This window comes from Homo sapiens, chromosome 4 (assembly GCF_000001405.40).
Source record: "Homo sapiens chromosome 4, GRCh38.p14 Primary Assembly".
Classification (NCBI taxonomy): Eukaryota; Metazoa; Chordata; class Mammalia; order Primates; family Hominidae; genus Homo; species Homo sapiens.
The window spans coordinates 183105521-183124474 of NC_000004.12; the positions used below are offsets into that span (position 1 = coordinate 183105521).

At 39.8% G+C, this 18954-nt stretch overlaps 1 protein-coding gene across 5 annotated transcripts in view, besides 2 other annotated features; it reads left to right on the forward strand.

The window, feature by feature from the left end:
- Positions 1 to 18954, forward strand: part of WWC2 (WW and C2 domain containing 2) — a 221521-nt gene that overhangs the window by 6264 nt on the left and 196303 nt on the right. The window lies entirely within an intron of this gene.
- Positions 16729 to 17229: an enhancer, noted in NCBI's record as "H3K27ac hESC enhancer chr4:184043402-184043902 (GRCh37/hg19 assembly coordinates)". NCBI's record gives its function as "activates a minimal SCP1, AML or CMV promoter by ChIP-STARR-seq in naive H9 embryonic stem cells {active_cell/tissue: H9 hESC(naive)}" and the evidence as "EXISTENCE:reporter gene assay evidence [ECO:0000049][PMID:30033119]".
- Positions 17230 to 17730: an enhancer, noted in NCBI's record as "H3K27ac hESC enhancer chr4:184043903-184044403 (GRCh37/hg19 assembly coordinates)". NCBI's record gives its function as "activates a minimal SCP1, AML or CMV promoter by ChIP-STARR-seq in naive H9 embryonic stem cells {active_cell/tissue: H9 hESC(naive)}" and the evidence as "EXISTENCE:reporter gene assay evidence [ECO:0000049][PMID:30033119]".

The window sequence follows — 18954 nt, forward strand, 5'->3', positions numbered from 1 at the left end:
TGATAGGGCTTGAGTCTGTATGTATGCCCTGGTTCCTATGAACTTGATTGAAATTGGTTAAACTGATCTTGTGTTAGAATTTTGGACTTGCCGGGCGCTGTGGCTCACGCCTGTAATCCCAGCACTTTGGGAGGCCAAGGCGGGTGGATCACGAGGTCAGGAGATGCAGACCATCCTGGCTAACACAGTGAAACCCTGTCTCTACTAAAAATACAAAAAATTTGCCAGGCGTGGTGGCGGGTGCCTGTAGTCCCAGCTACTTGGGTGGCTGAGGCAGGAGAATGGCGTGAACCCGGGAAGCGGAGCTTGCAGTGAGCAGACATTGCGCCAATGCACTCCAGCCTGGGTGACAGAACGGGACTCTGTCTTAAAAAAAAAAAAAAAAGAATTTTGGACTTCTTTATGCATTTCTAAACTCCTGTTACTGAAAAAGTTACCACAGAATAATGTAGAAGAGGAAAGGGATTTTTTTTTTTTGACAAGAGTTTTATTCTTGTTGCCCAGGCTGGGGTGCAGTGGTGTGATTTCGGCTCACTACAGCCTCCGCCTCCTGGGTTCAAGGTTCAAGCAATTCTGCCTCAGCCTCCCGAGTAGCTGGGATTATAGGCTCTCGCCACCACGCCCAGCTAGTTTTTGTATTTTTAATAGAGATGGGGTTTCACCATGTTGGCCAGGCTAGTCTCGAACTTCTGACCTCAGGTGATCTGCCCATCTCAGCCTCCCAAAATGCTGGGATTACAGGCATGAGCCACCACGCCCGGCTGAGGAAAGGGATTTTTAAAGGCACAGTGTGTATGTAAGTTGTGAGATACAAATGATTTATCAAAATATAGGTTCACAATGTTTTCAATGTCTTCAGTGATTTTTTCCAATTATTTTATCTTTATTAGATTAAAAAAATTCCTCAGCATAAAATTATTCATTTTAACCATTTTGAAGACTACACCTTAGTAGTTTTTAGTATATTCATTGTTATGAAACCATAAACACTGTATAATTCCTGAACATTTTAATCACCCCCAAAACAAACGACCCCTTACCTATTAAGAACTCACTTCTCATTCATCTCCCGTCTCTACAGCTTTTTGCAAAAACTGATCTACTTTGTGTCTCTGAATTTGCCTATTCTGGACATTTTATATAAATGGAATAGTAAAATTTGTATCCCTTTGTATCTGGCTTCTTTTTTTCTTAGTGTAATGCATTCAGGGTTCATTTTGTAGCATTTATTGTACTACTGCATCATTTTCATGACTTAATAATATTCGATTGTGTAGATATACCATATTTTGTACTTTCATTAGCTGATGTGCATTTGGGTCATTTCCACTCTTTGGCTGTTATGAATGATGCTGCTATGAATATCCCTGTACAATTTTTGTATGAATGTGTGTCTTCAGTTCTCTTCAGTATATACATGTCTAAAAGTGGAGTTGCTGGGTCATATGGCAGTTCTATGTTTAACTTTTTGAGGGGACTGCTAGACTGTTTACCACCATTTTACATTCCCACCAGCAGGGTATGAGTGTGCAAATTCCTCCACATCCTCACCAACACTTCTCTCTCTTTCTCTCCTTCTCTCCTCTTTCTGTCTCTCTCTTCTCTTTCCTTCTCTTCTCTTCTCTCTTTTCTTTTTTTCTTTTCTTTCTTCTTTTGAGACGGAGCCGGTCTCTCTTGCCCAGGCTGGAGTGCAGTGGTGATCTCGGCTCACTGCGGCTTCCACCTCCACCTCCAGGGTTCAACAGATCCTCCCACCTCAGCCTCCTGAGTAGCTGGGATTATAGGCACAAGCCACCATGCCTGGGCAATTTTTGTATTTTTAGTAGAGACGGGGTTGGGCCGGTCTCGAACTTTTGACCTCAAGTGATCTGCCTACCTTGGCCTTCCAAAGTGCTAGGATTACAGATGTGAGCCACCACAACTGGCCTCACTTCTTTCTTTTTTTTAAAAAGTTATTTTAGTGGGTGTGAGGTAGGATCTTACTGTGGTGTTGATTTGTATTTCCCTCTTCGTAGTGTTTTGATGGCCTTAGTTGGGCCCAAGCCTCCCCTTATTCTAGCCTTTTATAGCTGTTGCTATTCTGCCCCCTTTTTGTTTGTGTACTCTCACTCTTACTTGATCAATAAAAAGTTAGGTAAGAGAAGTTAGAGGGTTTTTTTAGTCTCACATTGCTCTTCCCTTTTCTCCCTATCTGATTGCTTTGAGTGATTATTTAATACTGACATTGTAGATATGCATTAATTAACAGTTTTTATTGTATCAACCAGCCAGGTACCCTGGACTCTGGGAGATAAAGATGGATAAGATTTGGTCCCAGCTCAGCTTGCCTACAATCTAGTGTGCATAATCATCATTTAAAAAGTGAAAGAAAATTTTGAGTATTATCTGTTAAATTTTCTCTATATTCCTATATTTCAGTTTAAGGGTACCTTCTTCCTAAACACTCAGAGGGAAGACAGTTGAAAGGAATTAAAAGCAGAATATATTGGCAAAGTATATATTAATTTTTTTCTTTATTTCAAATGTGATGTATTTTATGAGGCATTTGTGTGAGTCACGTAATGAATCATATGTGCAATGTATATACATCAGCTTATTCAAAATGATTTGACATGTAAAGGCTTTTCCTTTTAGCTCGTTATATATGTGAAGAATTAAATTTATTTTTGTTCATTGTTTTTTTAAAAAATGGCAGGAGCAAACCTGACAAGCGCTGCCTCCATCAGGTGATCAAAGGGAACATCCAGGGCACTAAGTCCTGCTGATACACCCTTGATGTGATGTGGTGACAATGGCATTTTATCTTTGTGGTCTTTCTCCCCCAAAACCGTAGTAACTCCAGTCTAATCTTGAGAAAAACACCTACTGGATCCCAGTAGAGGGGTATCCTATAAAATACCTGACCAGTACCCCTCAAAACCGTCAAGATCCTCACCAATAAGGAAAGTCTGAGAAACCCTCACAGCCATGAGGAGCGTAAGGAGACACCAAGACTAAATGTAATGTGTCCCAGGGGTGGAGGAGTCCTGGGCTGGAAAAAGGACATTAGGTGAAAACTAAGGAAATCTGAATAAGGTATGGATTGTAGTTAAAATTTTTTTTTTTTTTGAGACACAGCCTCACTCTTTCACCCAGGCTGGAGTGCAGTGTTGTGATCTCGGCTCACTGCAGCCTCAGCCTCCCGGGTTCAAGCAATTCTCCTGCCTCAGCCTCCCCAGTAGCTGGGATTACAGGCATGTGCCACCACACCCAGCTAATTTTTGTATTTTTAGTAGAGATAGGGTTTCACCATGTTGGCCAGGCTAGTCTTGAACTCCTGACCTAGTGATCTGCCTGCCTCGGCCTCCCAAAGTGCTGGGATTACAGGTGTGAGACACCACACCCGGCCCGATTGTAGTTAATTTTATTAATGTTAATAGATGTACCATACCAACAGGGAAAAGTAAGTGTGGACTATATATGGCAACTTTCCACACTAATTTTGTGGTTTTTTTTCTATAAATCTAAGACTGTTCTAAAAAATAAAATTTTAAAAGACCTCTTAAAAGTCACACAAAACGAAGTGATTTTCTTTGGTGGAAGCATAACCATGTTTGTTGTTTATATGAAAATTCTGCTTTGTAGGCCTCATTTTAGCCCTCCAGCTAAGAATGGGTTTTAAATCATGAAAAGCTGTAAACAAACAAACAAAAATAAAGAAGAATATGTGACAGAGACTAAATGTGGTTCACAAAGCCTGGAATGTTTACTTTGGCCCTTTACAGAAAGAGTTTGCCATTGTCTTTAAAAATTTTATAGCAATATTTTTAAATGTTTCTATAAATATTAACCTTTTATGATAAAATGGCACATTTATTAGTGATCATTGCACATTCTTTTATGCCAGCAGTCCCCAACCTTTCAGGTACCAGGGACTGGTTTTGTGGAAGACAATTTTTCCACAGAATGGGATTGGAGGAGTTGCGAGGGATGGTTTCAGGCTGAAACTGTTGGATCTCAGATCATCAGGGATTAGTTAGATTCTCATAGGAGCGCACAGCCTGGATCCCTCACATGTGCAGTTCATTATAGGGTTCGCTCTCCTATGAGAATCTAATGCCACCACTGATCTGACAGGAGGCGGAGCTCAGGCGGTCATGCTTGCTCGCACCACACACCTCCTTCTGTGCGGCCCAGTTCCTAACAGGCCATTGACCGGTACCAGTCTGTGGCTAGGGGTTGGGAACCCCTGATTTATTCCACAAGGGATTTGGACTCTAGGTACTGTGTGGGACAAAGGTGAGTCAGACATGGGTGCTGAATTTGAGGAGCTGTCTTGTATCTCATGTTACTTTTTTTTTTGTTTTTAAAACAAGGAAATGCAGCATGTTACTTAGTTTCCCAAACTGGTTCTTTGAATTAGCTGGACCTAATGGTAGTGGAAATAGGTCTGTTACTCTTAAGGTAAGAATGATTTCATGGGTCCCTGTTCAAATGTAGCAGCCTGTGGATTCTGTATACCTCATGATTATTTTGATGGAAAATCAAGAGACATCTCTGGGCACCTGGCTTTGCCATGGCAGGGCCTAAAGTAGAGATTGCTTTTGTGGTGTAGAGACAGCTCAACCCCAGTCACTCAATAAAGTTACCAGATACCAGGCGCTGCTATATAATTCTTAAGAAGAGTTGTACATAGGACATGAGAAAAACAGGCAAAATGAATTTTTGGAAGTACCATAGTTGTTTGTTTATACTTGACTGTTGGAAGTATATAGTATTATGCTTTGGTAGTTAGAAATACTGACTTTCTTGTGGCATATTGATAATATTTATAAAATTACTAGGTGATGATCAAGCAAAAAATTATTCCATATATTATCCTTGTGATGCCTGTCACTTTGAAGCATGTCCCAAAGACTGCTCTGTAGAGCTATTTTTTTTTTTTTTTTTTTGCTTTGTCAGTAATTTTTCCTATACTTTTTGCCCTGATGTCAGTAAACAAATCATGGTTCCAAAATGGAGCCAGCTCAGAAGTGAGGTAGTCATGCACTAACAGAGTTATGTATTGGGAGCTGTTTTTTCACTCCTGTAGCTCATGAGGAATTACAATAGTTCCAATAGAGCATTTGAATAAAGGTGTACATTTAATGTACTTTGGTTTCACTAGGAGTGGAGGTAGGAAATTTAATTTTAAAGAAGCATAGACATTGTGTTATGACAATAATCACTTTTAACTAAGTAAGTGTCCCTGGTATTTTTGTGAAAATGAGTATGTCAACATTTGGAAGGCAAAGAGGCTTTCCTTTGGTGTGAACTTTGCTCCTGCTGCATGTGCAGTGTTGTTTTCTGGTGTGGCCTGGGTTGTGTTGGTCACCAGTTCTGAATGTGAACAACAGAGGTAAACGTTGAATTATAGAGATTGGTGCTACAAACCCCTGATTAAAATCCTGATTTACAGGGCTGGGCTCGGTGGCTCACGCCTGTAATCCTAGCACTTTGGGAGGCTGAGGCGGGCGGATCACGAGGTCAGGAGATTGAGACCATCCTGGCTAACATGGTGAAACCCCATCTCTACTAAAAATATAAAATAATTAGCCGGGCGTCGTGGCAGGCGCTGGTAGTCCCAGCTCTTCGGGAGGCTGAGGCAGGAGAATGGCGTGAATCCAGGAGGCGGAGCTTGCAGTGAGCGGAGATTGCACTACTGCACTCCAGCCTGGGCGACAGAGCCAGACTCCATCTCAAAAAATAAAATAAAATTCTGACTTACTAATGGACTGTAGAATACGTTGCATACTTTATTGACAGTTGTGCATTTTATAATTGCATAATTGGTATGAAGTGGCAGTGATATTCAGTTAAGTTTAAAATGTGGTAGACAACTTTGCACAAGATTTGAGGAGCATGTAGTTTCATTTAGTGTGAAACTTGAATCTACTCTGCAGTTTTCCTTAGCATTATGGTTTTTAATAGAGATACATTAGAATTCCAGTCTTTTTTTTTCTTTGAAACTGTGACAGTGAATGAATGTGTGGAATCTGCTTTGTACATAGTATCACTGGGTTATCAGCTTTGTTGACTTACTGGTCTAGGTGTAATTTTGGGCTGGTTGGTAATTCTGTCCATACCATATGTTCTTTTCTTATCTGCTGCTTATCAGTGTTTGAGTTTGATAAAAACAGATCATTTACTTTCTGTTTTGTTTTTTTTTTTTTGATACCGGGTCTCACTCTGTTGCCCAGGCTGGAGTGCAGTGGCGTGATCATGGCTCGTTGCAGCCTCAATCTCCCTGGGCTCAGGTGATCCTCCCACCTCAGCCTCTGGAGTAGCTGGGACTACAGGGGTGCGGCACAACACCTGGCTAAGTTTTTTTGTACTTTTTGTAGAGTCAGGGTTTCGCCATGTTGCCCAGGCTGGTCTCCAACTCCTGGCCTCAAGCATTTCTCCCATCGTGGCCTCCCAAAGTGCTGGGATTACAGGCGTGAGCCACCACGCCCAGCCAGATCATTTACTTTTTTCCTTCTTTGTCTCCCTTCCCCTTTTCTGCTAAATGACATAGCTAATGATATTTCTCATAGGACAGCATGACTAGAAACCAGTATTTAACTTGGCAGAATGTTTAACATAACATCAGTGCCCTGGTTTGCTATTGTAGATTGAAAGACTACAAAACTAACTTGATTGTCTAACTCTACTTTCAGTCCTTCATTTACCCCTGAAGGTATGCCTGTAGAACGTATGTAGATGCATTCTTGAGAGATTTCCTAGTGTCTCATGTGTAAGGAGCTTGTGTGTGTCTGCATCACTAATGTTTTCATAAAATTGATTCTAAGTTATTTGAGAATAGAGACCTGCTTTGTGTGTGCCCCTTCATGCTCTGTGCTTAGATTGCCTGTCCCCACAGGGACACTTAACACGGCGGAGGCCTGTACCCATAGAAATGAAATGTATGCATTTGAAGGACCTTTTCCTTCTTCCAGTAACCTCCATAATTTGTCCCCAGCTTACTTTACTGACTTCACCACCTAGTCATTCACTCAGTCACTCATTCATTCATTCAATCAAACTATTCGTCACACATTTATTGGAAACACTATATGCCTAGCACATACATTTCGGGGACACGGTGTTGAATGAAATAGGTGAGATCTCTGTTTTCATGGATTTTATATTCTACTTTGGGGAAGGCAAACAGATTCTAAAGATAGTAGTGAATTTGCTTTGATTAAAATAAACAAGATGAAGTGATAATAGTGTCGGTGGGAGCTGCTTTGGGTTAGGTGATCAGGAAAGGCCTTTCTGAGGAGCTGGCATTTAGCTGAGCTATGAGGATAAGAAGGAGCCATTCATGTGAAGATCTGGGGGGAAGAGTGGTCTAGGCAGAAGAAAAGACTAAACAGAAGTACTAGCCCTGTGCTTTCCACTATGATACCTTCTAGGAGTATGTGGCTATTTAAATTTAAACTAGTTAAAATTAAGTTAGAAATTTAGTTCCGCCGGGCACGGTGGCTCATGCGTGTAATCCCAGCACTTTGGGAGGCCGAGGCAGGTGGATCACCTGAGGTCAGGAGTTCGAGACCAGCCTAGCCAACATGGCAAAACCCCATCTCTACTAAAAATACAAAAATTAGCCAGGCGTGGGGTGCATACTTGTAATCTCAGCTACTTGAGAGGTTGAGGCAGCAGAATCACTTGAACCTGGAAGGCGGAGGTTGCAGTGAGCTGAGATTGCACCACTGCAAATACAGAACGTTTCCATCAGCACAGATTGATGTAGAAACAGAGGGAGGAGGGTCTTATGAAATGAGGCAGAGAAGTATTAGGTTGGTGCAAAAGTAATTGCTTTCAATGCAAAAACCACAATTACTTTTGCACCAACCTATAGAAAGGGGTCCTATCATGTATGCCTTGTAGACCATCAAGATTTTAAGGTTGTTTGGGAGCTATTGGAGAGTTTTCAATTGAACTGAGGTAAGGTGGGGCCTGTGTGTGTGTGTGTGTGTGTGTGTGTGTGTGTGTGCGCGCGCGTGCGCGCGCACATGCACGTGCATGCAAGATGATCTTACTCATTTTTGTTTGTTGGTAGAGACAGAGCCTCAGTATGTTGCCAGGCTGGTCTCAAACTCCTGGCTTCAAGCAGTCCTCCCTCTGCAGCCTCCCAAAGTGCTGAAATTTACAGGTGTGAGCCACTGTGCCTGGCCTTTCTTTTTTTCTTTTTAAAGATCTTATTTTAAAAAAGAGATCACTACTCTATGGAGAAGGAATTACAGATTTTTTTTTTTTTTTTAGTGAGATAATCTGGATGAGAAACAATCAGAGCTTGCACTAGAATGATGGCTTTGGCAGTGGGAAGCAGTGAGTGGATTTGCTTTTACCTAAAAAACCTATGTTTTTTTGGTAAAAATGAAAGAACTTGCTCATGATGTGGGTACATGAGGCTTGAGGAAAAGAGAGAATAAAAGAGTTACCATTAGGGAAAGACCGAGGGAGAATGTGGTTGGTTGGTATCCATTTGGATTGCTAATCCAAAGTTCTGTTTCCGATGTATAGGTGTGATAGAGTTTGAATATGTGTCCCCACTATTGTAATTTGTAATTCCTAGTTGGAGGTAGGGCCTGGTAGGAGGTCGGGTAGTGGGTGAGTTCTTGCAGTATCTGGTTGTTTAAGTGTACGGCACCACCTCCTCCCCCCGCCATCCTCTCTCTTGTTCCTGCTCTGGCCATATGATGTGCCTGCTCCTCTTTTGCCTTCTACCTTAATTGTAAGCTTCCTGAAGCTCTTCCCAGGAGCTGAGCAGGTGACTGGGGCCATGCTTTCTGTGTAGCCTGCAGAAGTCATAGGTCCAATTAAACCTCTTTTCCTTATAAATTACCCCATTTCAGGTGCTTATAGCAATGCAAGAAATACAAGGTGTGAGACCCCTATGAAGACATACAAATAGAGAAATCTAGTAGACACCCAGATATAGAATCTTTTGTTCAGGAGACAGCTCAGAGCTAGAGATACTAAATTTGGTTTATACATAGGTAGTATTTGAAGTTGTGGGATGGGATGAGATTACTGGAAGAGAGGAAAAGGAGAGGTTCCAAGATTGAGCCTTGAGACATGGCAATATTTTTTGTGAAACCTTGTTTCAGCTAAGATGGTTTATTTGTTTTCACTGGAACATACCTTTTTTTTTTTCTTCCAACGTTTATTTCAGGTTCACAGAGTACACACGTGGATTTGTTAATGTGGGTAGATAGTGTGTTGCGGGGGTTTGGTGTACAAATTATTTCATCACCCAGGTAATAAACATAGTACCCCGTAGGTTGTTTGTTTGTTTGTTTTTGTTTATTTATTTTTGAGCCAGTCTCATTCTATCGCCTAGGCTAGAGTGCAGTGGCAAGATCTGTGCTCACTGCAACCTCTGCCTCCCGGGTTCAAGCGATTGTCATGCCTCAGCCTCCTAAGTAGCTGGGAATAGAGGCGTGCACCACCACACCCAGCTAATCCCCATAGGTAGTTTTTTGATCTTCACCCTCCTCCCACCTTCCACTCTCAAATAGGCTGTGATGTCTGTTGTTCCCTTTTAGCTTCCATGTGTACTCAGTGTTTAGTTCCCACTTATAAGTGAGAACATGCGGTATTTGGTTTTCTATTCCTGTGTTAATTTGCTTAGGATAATGGCCTACAGTTCCATCCATGTTGTTGCAGAGATCATGATTTCATTCTTTTTTGTGGTGCATAGTGTTCCATGGTGTATATGTACCACATTTTCTTTATCCAGTCTACCCTTGATGGGCCTTTAGGTTGATTCTATGTCTTTGCTATTGTGATTAGTGCTGCAGTGAACATAAATGTGCATGTGTCTTTGTGGCAGAATGATTTGTATTCCTGTGGGTATATACCCAGTAAAGGGATTGCTCGGTTGGATGGCAGTTCTGTTTTAAGTTCTTTGAGAAATCTCCAAACTGCTTTCCACAGTGGCTGAACTAGTTTACATTCCTACCAGCAGTGTTTAAGCATTCCCTTTCCTCTGTAACCTGGACAGCATCTTTTGACTTTTATCTAATAGCCATTTTGACTGGTGTGAGATGGTATCTCATTGTGGTTTTGATTTGCATTTCTCTAATGATCAGTGATGTTGAGAATTTTTTCATATGCCTTCTTTTGAGAAATGTCTGTTCGTGTCCGTTGCTCATTTTTTATGGGGTTGTTTGTTTTTTGCTTGTTGGTTTGTTTATGTTCCTTATAGATTCTGGATTTCAGACCTTTGTCAGATGCATAGTTTGCATATATTTTCTCCAATTCTGTAGGTTACTCTGTTGATAGTTTCTTTTGCTGTGCAGAAGCTCTTTAGTTTAATTAGGTCCCATTTGTTGGTTTTCTTTTTTGTTGCAGTTGCTTTTGGCCTCTTTGTCATGAAATCTTTGCCAGGGCCTACGTCCAGAATGGTATTTCCTAGGTTTTCTTCTAGGGTTTTTATAGTTTTAGGTTTTACACTTAAGTCTTTAATCCAGCTCTAGTTGACTTTTGTATATGGTGTAGGAAGGGGTCCAGTTTCAGTCTTCTGCATATGACTGGCCAGTTATCCCAGCACCTTTTATTGAATAGGAAGTACTCTCCCCATTGCTCATTTTTGTCAACTTTGTCAAAGACCAGATGGTGGTAAGTGTGTGACTTTATTTCTGGTTTTTCTAACATGTTCCATTGGTGTGTGTGTCTGTTTTTGCACCATTCACTGGAACATATCTTATACTTTTCACCACTGTGCTAAAGATGATGATGATGACAAGTACCATAAGTTATGTGAAGAGCCCTTCACATATTTATCTCAAGCTTCATGAGGGCAGGTATTGTGTCTGTCTTGTTCACTACTGTATTCCAATGCTCAGCTTTGTGCAAGCTCTTAGTAACTATTGAATAAAAGAAACTTTGATAGGTACCATTATTATTTCCATTTTAGGAAACTGAGACTGAAGAGGTTTAAGTGACTTGTCTAAGGGCACAAAGCTGTTAAGTGGTGGCAGAACTCAAGCGTGTCTGTCTGACTTCCAAGCTGTACATCTAACAAGATACTGCCTTCGATTCCTGCTAGGAAAGGCCTTTGGCCGCCTCCCTGGCTTTGGAAGATAGAGCCTCCTTCAGGATTTAGCTGAAGTTTCATCACTTAAAGTTTGCCTTAACAACTTAGCCACACATAATCTTCCAGTGCTTAATTCTTATGCTACCTGTTTTTAGCATCTGTATTAAAACTACATGTGTACTGTATTTTGACTCCTTGAATTAAACTATTACTTTTTCAGAATTTATTATTTTCTCAAATTAGGTTATAGGCTCTGTTTAGTTAAATCATGCACAATATTATTTATTTATCCTGCCTTGCAAGATACCCAGTACAATGTCTTGTGGATATTAGTTGCTCAAATAAATCCTAATTTGATTCTGTCATTTCTGCCTTGTTCCAGTGTTTTCAGTTCTTTTAGAGGCTGAGATCTATATGCTATAAATCCTCTTCATTCCTGTCCTGTCTCTGGTTCTAAAAACGGTTCAGTGTTGTCCCACAGCTTCTCCCAATCTAGGCTTCTGTGGAACCATCTCCTTTTCAAATGTGCCACTTACACCACCTACACTTCTGCATATCCCCTCCCTTTTCGAGACAAGTTGAACTGATCATGAAGGATAGAGAATTTTCAAAGTGATAAAGTGGAGTTCCAGCTCTTCCACATTCTTCTTCTTTTTTTTTTTTTTTTTTTTTTTTTGATGGAGTCTTGCTCTGTCCCCCAGGCTGGAGTGCAATGGCGTGATCTTGGCTCACTGCAACCTCTGCCTCCTGGGTTTAAGCGATTCTCCTGCCTCAGCCTCCTGGGTAGCTGAGATTACAGGTGCCCGCCACCATGCCCAGCTAATTTTTGTATTTTTAGTAAAGATGGGGTTTCACCATATTGGTCAGGCTGGTCTCGAACTCCTGACCTCAGGTGATCTGCCCGCCTCAGCCTCCCAAAGTGCTGGGATTACAGGCATGAGCCACTGTGCCCGGCCACGTTCTTTTCTATAGTGCTTTTTCATTAATTTAAACCCTGTTGGGTGTCTACTATAATCCAAGAAAGCCTTGATTTTACCACAAACATGTAAATTACAAAGCTTTTTTTTTTTTTGTTTAAAACACTGAGACAAGGTCTCATCTCCCTGTGTTGCCCAGGCTGGTCTTGAACTCTTGCGCTTAAGGGATCCTCCTGCCTCAGCCTCCCAGAGTGCTGGGATTACAGGCGTGAGCCACCATGCCCAGCCCGCAGACCTTGATTGGGGATCTTTTTTTTTTTTTTTGAGGTGGAGTCTCGCTCTGTCGCCCAGGCTGGAGTGCCAGGCTGGAATGCAATGGTGCGATCTTGGCTCACTGCAACTGCCGCTTCCCGGGTTCAAGCGATTCTCCTGCCTCTGCCCCCCAAGTAGCTGGGACTATAGGCTCGTGCCACCATGCTCGGCTAATTTTTGTATTTTAGTAGAGACGGGGTTTCGCCATGTTGGCCAGGCTGGTCTTGAACTGCTGACTTCGTGATCCACCCACCTTGGCCTCCCAAAGTGCTGGGATTACAGGAGTGAGCCACTGCGCCTGGCCGGTTATGGATATTTTTTTTACCTCTACTCTTATAGTCGAGCCTCAGTCTTAGAGGAAAAATAGTTTCTTTCAGTCGATTGCCACGTTATAGTTTGCTTTAAACTACTTAGATTTGGATTCAGGGTAAAGAGCCTTCATAAATAGGAAGTGATAGAAATTCAGAGGGAGTGTGGCATGTTTTTGTTGGATTTACTTATGCTGTGAAACTTACCTAGAAGTGTACAGGCAGTCACTAAACTATGGTTAAAGAGGAATCTTTTCATTTGTACATTCCTTATCCCTGTTACAGGTTGCTGCACTTTTTTTTTCTGTCTTTATGGTAGCTAGAAATATATTGTGTATCTGATTCTATGTTTTCCTACATTTCTACATTTGACTTGGTTTGAGATCAAGTTTGTGAATTTTGATTAAATGCCTAGATTATGCATGTGAAAAATCTTTTGTCCTGTGTTGCTATGAGCAACAATTGTTAAAATTAACTTTTTTAGAAAATGTGGACAAATACATGAATCTTAACAGATTTTTAAAAAGTCATCATTTAGCATTGTGAGTGTTCTGTCTATAAAATAAATTGTTACTGTGACCATAATTATCGTGGTGAAGGGAGGAATGCAGTAGAAGTGAATAATCATCAGACACATTGACAAAACATTCCTAAAATGCTATTCAAATGAGGAAAGACATTATGGGGCTGCAGCCAAGTAGCCAAGCGTTGAGTCCTTTTAGCCAGTTGTCTGACCGGGTTTACTATTGTGACCAAAAAGAAGCTGTGTGTAGTGGTTTGCATAGAAGGGTCATGATTTATCTGAAATATCTCAACTTTTTTTTTTTTTGTAATCCTGTCTCTCATCCTCCCCTGACAACACTTTACTTCATTCTTAAAGACTCCTTTTGTCCTGATGGTGTTTGTTTCATTGCTTTCTACCGTACTCCAGTCTGAATTTTACTGACTCCTAGTGATTGCTTAGACTTGCTATTTGATTCTGTTGTGTGATTTTTGATTATACTCCTTTGTGCTATTTAAACTAGCAGTGTTTACCTAAATTAGTGGTGGTAGTGAAGGACACAGGTTGGCCCATTTGAATGAAAATCAGGAGCATTGCACTGGCCCTGCCGTTAAGATGAATTTCCATGAATTCCCTCTCCAGAAGGGCACTAGGAATTTGGCTGGACTACAGAAGTTACTTCTCCAGTTAAAGGCATGGAGTCTGGGAATGGCTTAGTTTAAGGATATATAGTGATAATGTAATTAATTCTCCCACTGAGAATATAGGACGAAGTGAAGAGATGCCCTTTGTCCTCTTCCTGCATCCTCGCCTCTTCTTCAGGTCACTATTGAGAATGAACCCTGAAGCACTTGTCCTTTACACAGTTAGCAAGAAGAAACCATGACTTGCTTCTTAAGGTTTTGGAAGAACCTGCTGGGCGCCTCATTTCAAGACGGGGTATAAAGCCCCTCCTCATATTTACTTCTCTGTGTAACCATGCACTTTGCCCATGTATGTTGGAAAACAGTGAGTTTTTTAAAAACAGAAGTTTTAATTTTAAAAACTAAAAATGGACTTTTTTTTGGTTAAGATGTCAGTTTTAAAAACACAGATATAACTTAGGATAACTCCAAAAGATATTCTGAGTTATGGGTGGGAACTTAAAATGAGCACGTAGTATATTGGAGATGGATATTCATTTAACCCATTGAGGGAAGTTTTTTATGTGTAAATCATGGAAGTCTCTTAGTACTACGTTCATTTTCTTTCCACGATTTTCATTTCTTCTGTGGTCAGCCTTTAACCCCTGAGTTCTTTACTCTGATATACATCCATAGTGATAATTATATGATTCTTAAACAGTTCATTCACAGAACTTAAATTTATTTGTTATTGGGTTTTTTAAAAACCCACAACGGAAATGGAAATCATTTAAACAGCTGGTTTCATCAAGACATCAGAAGGGATATCCTAGCCGTAGAGATGAAAAATTACCTTTACAAGTATAGAAAGGATGTTTTGCTACTTTATGATTAAGTTAATAATTTAGGAAAGCTGGTATCCTTTTTGGCCTTGTAGAGGAAAATGAGGAATCAGTTAGTTGGAAAACCAGTTATTTAAACATTCTCAATGTCAGCTGCCTGAAAGGGAATGTATATAAATTTTATTGAAAAACACCTTTATTCATGTTAGTTAAATCATAGCATATAGAATGAAATACTGTGAATTGTTAACAAAGAAAGATGTATTAGTGCCCAAATACAAAGATCTCTACTGTGATTATGTTAGGGTTAAAATGCATGTACACAGATTGATGCTGACGTTTATGAACTAGAACCATTTTGAACAAGGCATCTTTATTAGTGGCTGCTTCTGGGGAGTAAGACTGTAGACTAGGGGAATAACTTGGAGATTATGGAATTACTTTTTGGGTCACTTGAAATGATTATGTGTATACTGCACTGTTTTACACATTTAATTTAAATGAAAATTCCCTTTATAGAGAAGAAAATGTTCAAATATTCAAATTTGTACAGAGAAAAATGCAAGCATTTGTTAAAATCATGATATTCCCTAAATTTCTGTTAATATTTAATATTATTTAATTTTACCTTATCTTTAGTTTTGGGGAAGTTCTCTTTAATTTTGGTATAAGTTGGATGTGAACAATAAAATACATTTATTTAATTAATGGCTGGTCTTGCTTTGTGGCCCAGGCTGGAGTGCAGTGGTGCCATCATGGCTGACTGACCTCCTGGGCTCAGGCAGTTCTCCTGCATTGGCCTCCCAAAGTGCTGGGCTCACAGGCATGAGCCACCATGCCCAGCCAGAACACATTTTAAAAAGTAACATTGTGGCCAGGAGGGGTTGCTTACGCCTTTGATCCCAGCACTTTGGGAGGCCGGCAGATCACTTGAGCCCAGGAGTTTGAGACCAGCCTGGACAACATGGCGAGACCTTGTCTCTACAAAATAATACAAAAGTTAGCCAGGCATGGCGGTGCGCACCTGTAGTCCCAGCTACTTGGGAGGCTGAGGTGGGAAGTCAAGGCTGCAGTAAGCTGTGATGGTGATCCTACCACTGCACTCCATCCTGGGCAACAGATAGAGACATTATCTCAAAAAAAAAAAAAAAGTAACATTGTGGAGGAAAATAATTAAATTGTTGACGTGTAATTTTCTGTGATGATTGTTGTGCTAATAGAGTTTGGGTGTTCTTGATCTGAAATGCTTGGGACCGGAAGTGTTTCAGATTTTGGATTTTTTTTTTTTAAATTTTGGAATATTTGCATTATATACTTCCCAGTTGAACATCCCTAAACCAAAAATCCAAAATTCATAATGCTCCAATGAGCAATTTCCTTTGAGTGTTATGTCGGCATTCAGAAGTTTCAGATTTTGGAGTATTTTGGATTTTGGATTTTCAAATTAGGGATACTCAATCTAATAGAGGTGGGTCAGAGGTATATACATTTATAATTTTGATAGATTGTTTCAAATTGTTCTTTATGGAGGTTGTACCAATATATATTCCCAGTAACCCATGAATTTATGCCTGTTCCCCACACCTTTGTCAAACATTATATTTCAAAATAGTTTATATTTGTTATAGATAAGGGAAATGCAAATTATAACTACAATGAAATAGCATTTTTCACCTATTATGAGTGAGGTTGGACATTTTTTCACTTGTTAAGAAGCTTTTTTTTTTTTTTTTTTGCGACAGAGTCTTGCTCTGTTGCCCAGGCTGGAGTGCGGTGGCACGATCTTGGCTCACTGCAAGCTTCGCCTCCTGGGTGCACACCATTCTCCTGCCTCAGCTTCCCGAGTAGCTGGGACTATAGGCACCTGCCACCACGCCCAGCTAATTTTTTGTATTTTTAGTAGAGACGGGCTTTCACTGTGTTAGCCAGGATGGTCTCGATCTCCTGGCTTCGTGATCCGCCCGCTTCCGCCTCCCAAAGTGCAGGGATTACAGGCGTGAGCCACCACGCCCAGCCAAGAAGCATTTTTTTTCTGTGAACTAGATTTCATATTCTTTGCTCTTTATTTTTATTGGAAAGTTGCTATTTTATTACTGATTTATAAATGTTATTTATGTATTAGGCAAATTATAAAATCAGTGGGGCAAGAATGGATTATTTAATAAATGGTGCTGGTACAATAGGCCATCTGTTAGTATATTAAAAAATAAAATTCAGATCCCTATGCCTTCCCACACACACAAATTAGTGCATCGATTTATGCCTAAAATCAACAAGGAGATACAGATTTTAAGCTATTAGAAAATTATAGGTGGATGGGTATCTGTATTTCATAGTGGATTACAATAAAATTAAAACTCTGACATGACAAAAGGCATAAATTAAAGACAAAAGGGGAAATGTTTGCATATAATCAGTAAAAAATTAGTATCCTGAATGAATAAAGATCTGTATTTTATTTTATTTTTTTTGTGACAGAGTCTTACTCTGTTGCCCAGGCTGGAGTGCAGGTGCGATCTCAGCTCACTGCAGTCTCCGCCTCCCAGGCTCAAGCGATTCTCGTGCCTCAGCCTCCTGAGTAGCTGGGATTACAGGCATGCACCACCACCCCTAGCTAATTTTGTGTTTTTAGTAGCAATGGGGTTTTGCCATGTTGGTCAGGCTGGTCTTGAACTCCTGGCCTCAAGTGATCCACCCAACTTGGCCCCCCAAAGTGCTGGGATTACAGGCATGAGCCACCGTGCCTGGCCAAGATCTGTATTTTAATAAGTAAATGAGAAAGAAGAAAATGGGGTAAAAGTAACAGCCAGTTCTCAGAAGAGAACAGAGTGATCAATGAATATATGGAAAGATCTCAGTTTCATTAGAAGTAAGAGAAATGCAGAGTTAAACTGCAATGAAAGACCATTTCATTTCCATGACATTTACCAAAATTAATAGGCCTAACAACATCAGGTATGGAGAGGATGTAGGGAAATAGGAACTTTCATCATTGTTGATAGGAGTGTGAGTTGATATTACTACTAAGGAGAGCCGTTGGCACAATGTATGTCAGGTTAAACATTTGCATCCTGTTCAGCTCAGGATTCCATTTGTGTATCCTAGAGAAACTCTTGCATGTATGTTCAAGTAAGTTCATTGTAGCTTAATTTGTAAACCCAAAAAATTTTGAACAATACAAATGTCTGTCAATGGGAGATTGTATTAAACAATTTTTATGGTTTAATTACAGAGTGCTATACAGCTGTTAAAATAAATGAACTTGAATCTTCCTACAAATACCAACATAGACAAATCTCAGTGACAGTGTTTAGAGAAACACAGCAAGTTTCAGGTGTGTGTGTGTGTGTGTGTGTGTGTGTGTGTATTTCATGTAAAATTTAAAACCCCACAAAACTAAGGCATATAGCATTTATGGATATATACATAGGTGGTCAAGATTTTAAAACAGGAATGCTCTACCCCAGCATCAGGATAGTGGTTTTCTGTGGGGAAGGAAGAGTGTAAGGGGGTCTATCCTGAAAGATATCTACAGTTCTTTGTTTTTTAAATCTGAAGGCAAATATAGCATAATATCATTTCTTAAATCTTGGTGTTATAGACATACATGTTTATTGGCCTTCATATTTTTTGACATATATTAAATATACATTTTGAATTTTCCACATGCCTTTTCACTATACAGAGATAGTTTGTGCTTTACACTATTAATATGATGAATTTTATTAATAAATTTAAATTTAAAAGATTTCCTAATTTTGATATGAAGCTGGATTCTATTTGTTAATTTTTTTTTAGGATTTTTACGTGAATATTTGTGAGAGTAGTCTAGTTTTATTTTCCTCCTCTTTTGATGCCTTGTTTACCAGATTTTGGTTGTAATGTTATGCTGACTTCCTAAAAAAATTCGGAACGTTCATTCTTCTCCATGTTTTGGAACAGTTTAAGTATCATTGGAATTAAATATGTTCCTTGCAGTTTGGTAGAATTCAGATTTATAGATTATGAGATCTTGTACTTTTTCTGGGAAGGGGTTGTTCTTCTAGATAGCCATATAGATACCCAAACAGTTCCTGTTAGTTATCTATTTGGTAGCAGATAATTGTTTGGGTATCTATATGGCTGATTTTCTTGTCTTCAGGGGTCAGTTTGGTATTTACATTTTCCTGGAAAGAAATCTTCAGTGTTTTCAAATTTATTGGACAGGATAATCCTTTAATATTATTTTCTTTTCTACTGTAACTGCAATCGTTTTCCTGTTCTCATTTATAGCTTTATGTATTTGTGCTTTTTTCTTTTTTTTTTCCTTTCTCTAGTTCAGGTTACCTAACCTCTCAGTTATTTGGGTATTTTTTTCTTAAAGTAACCAGCTCTTGGACTTATTGATACAAATGACTCTTTCTAAT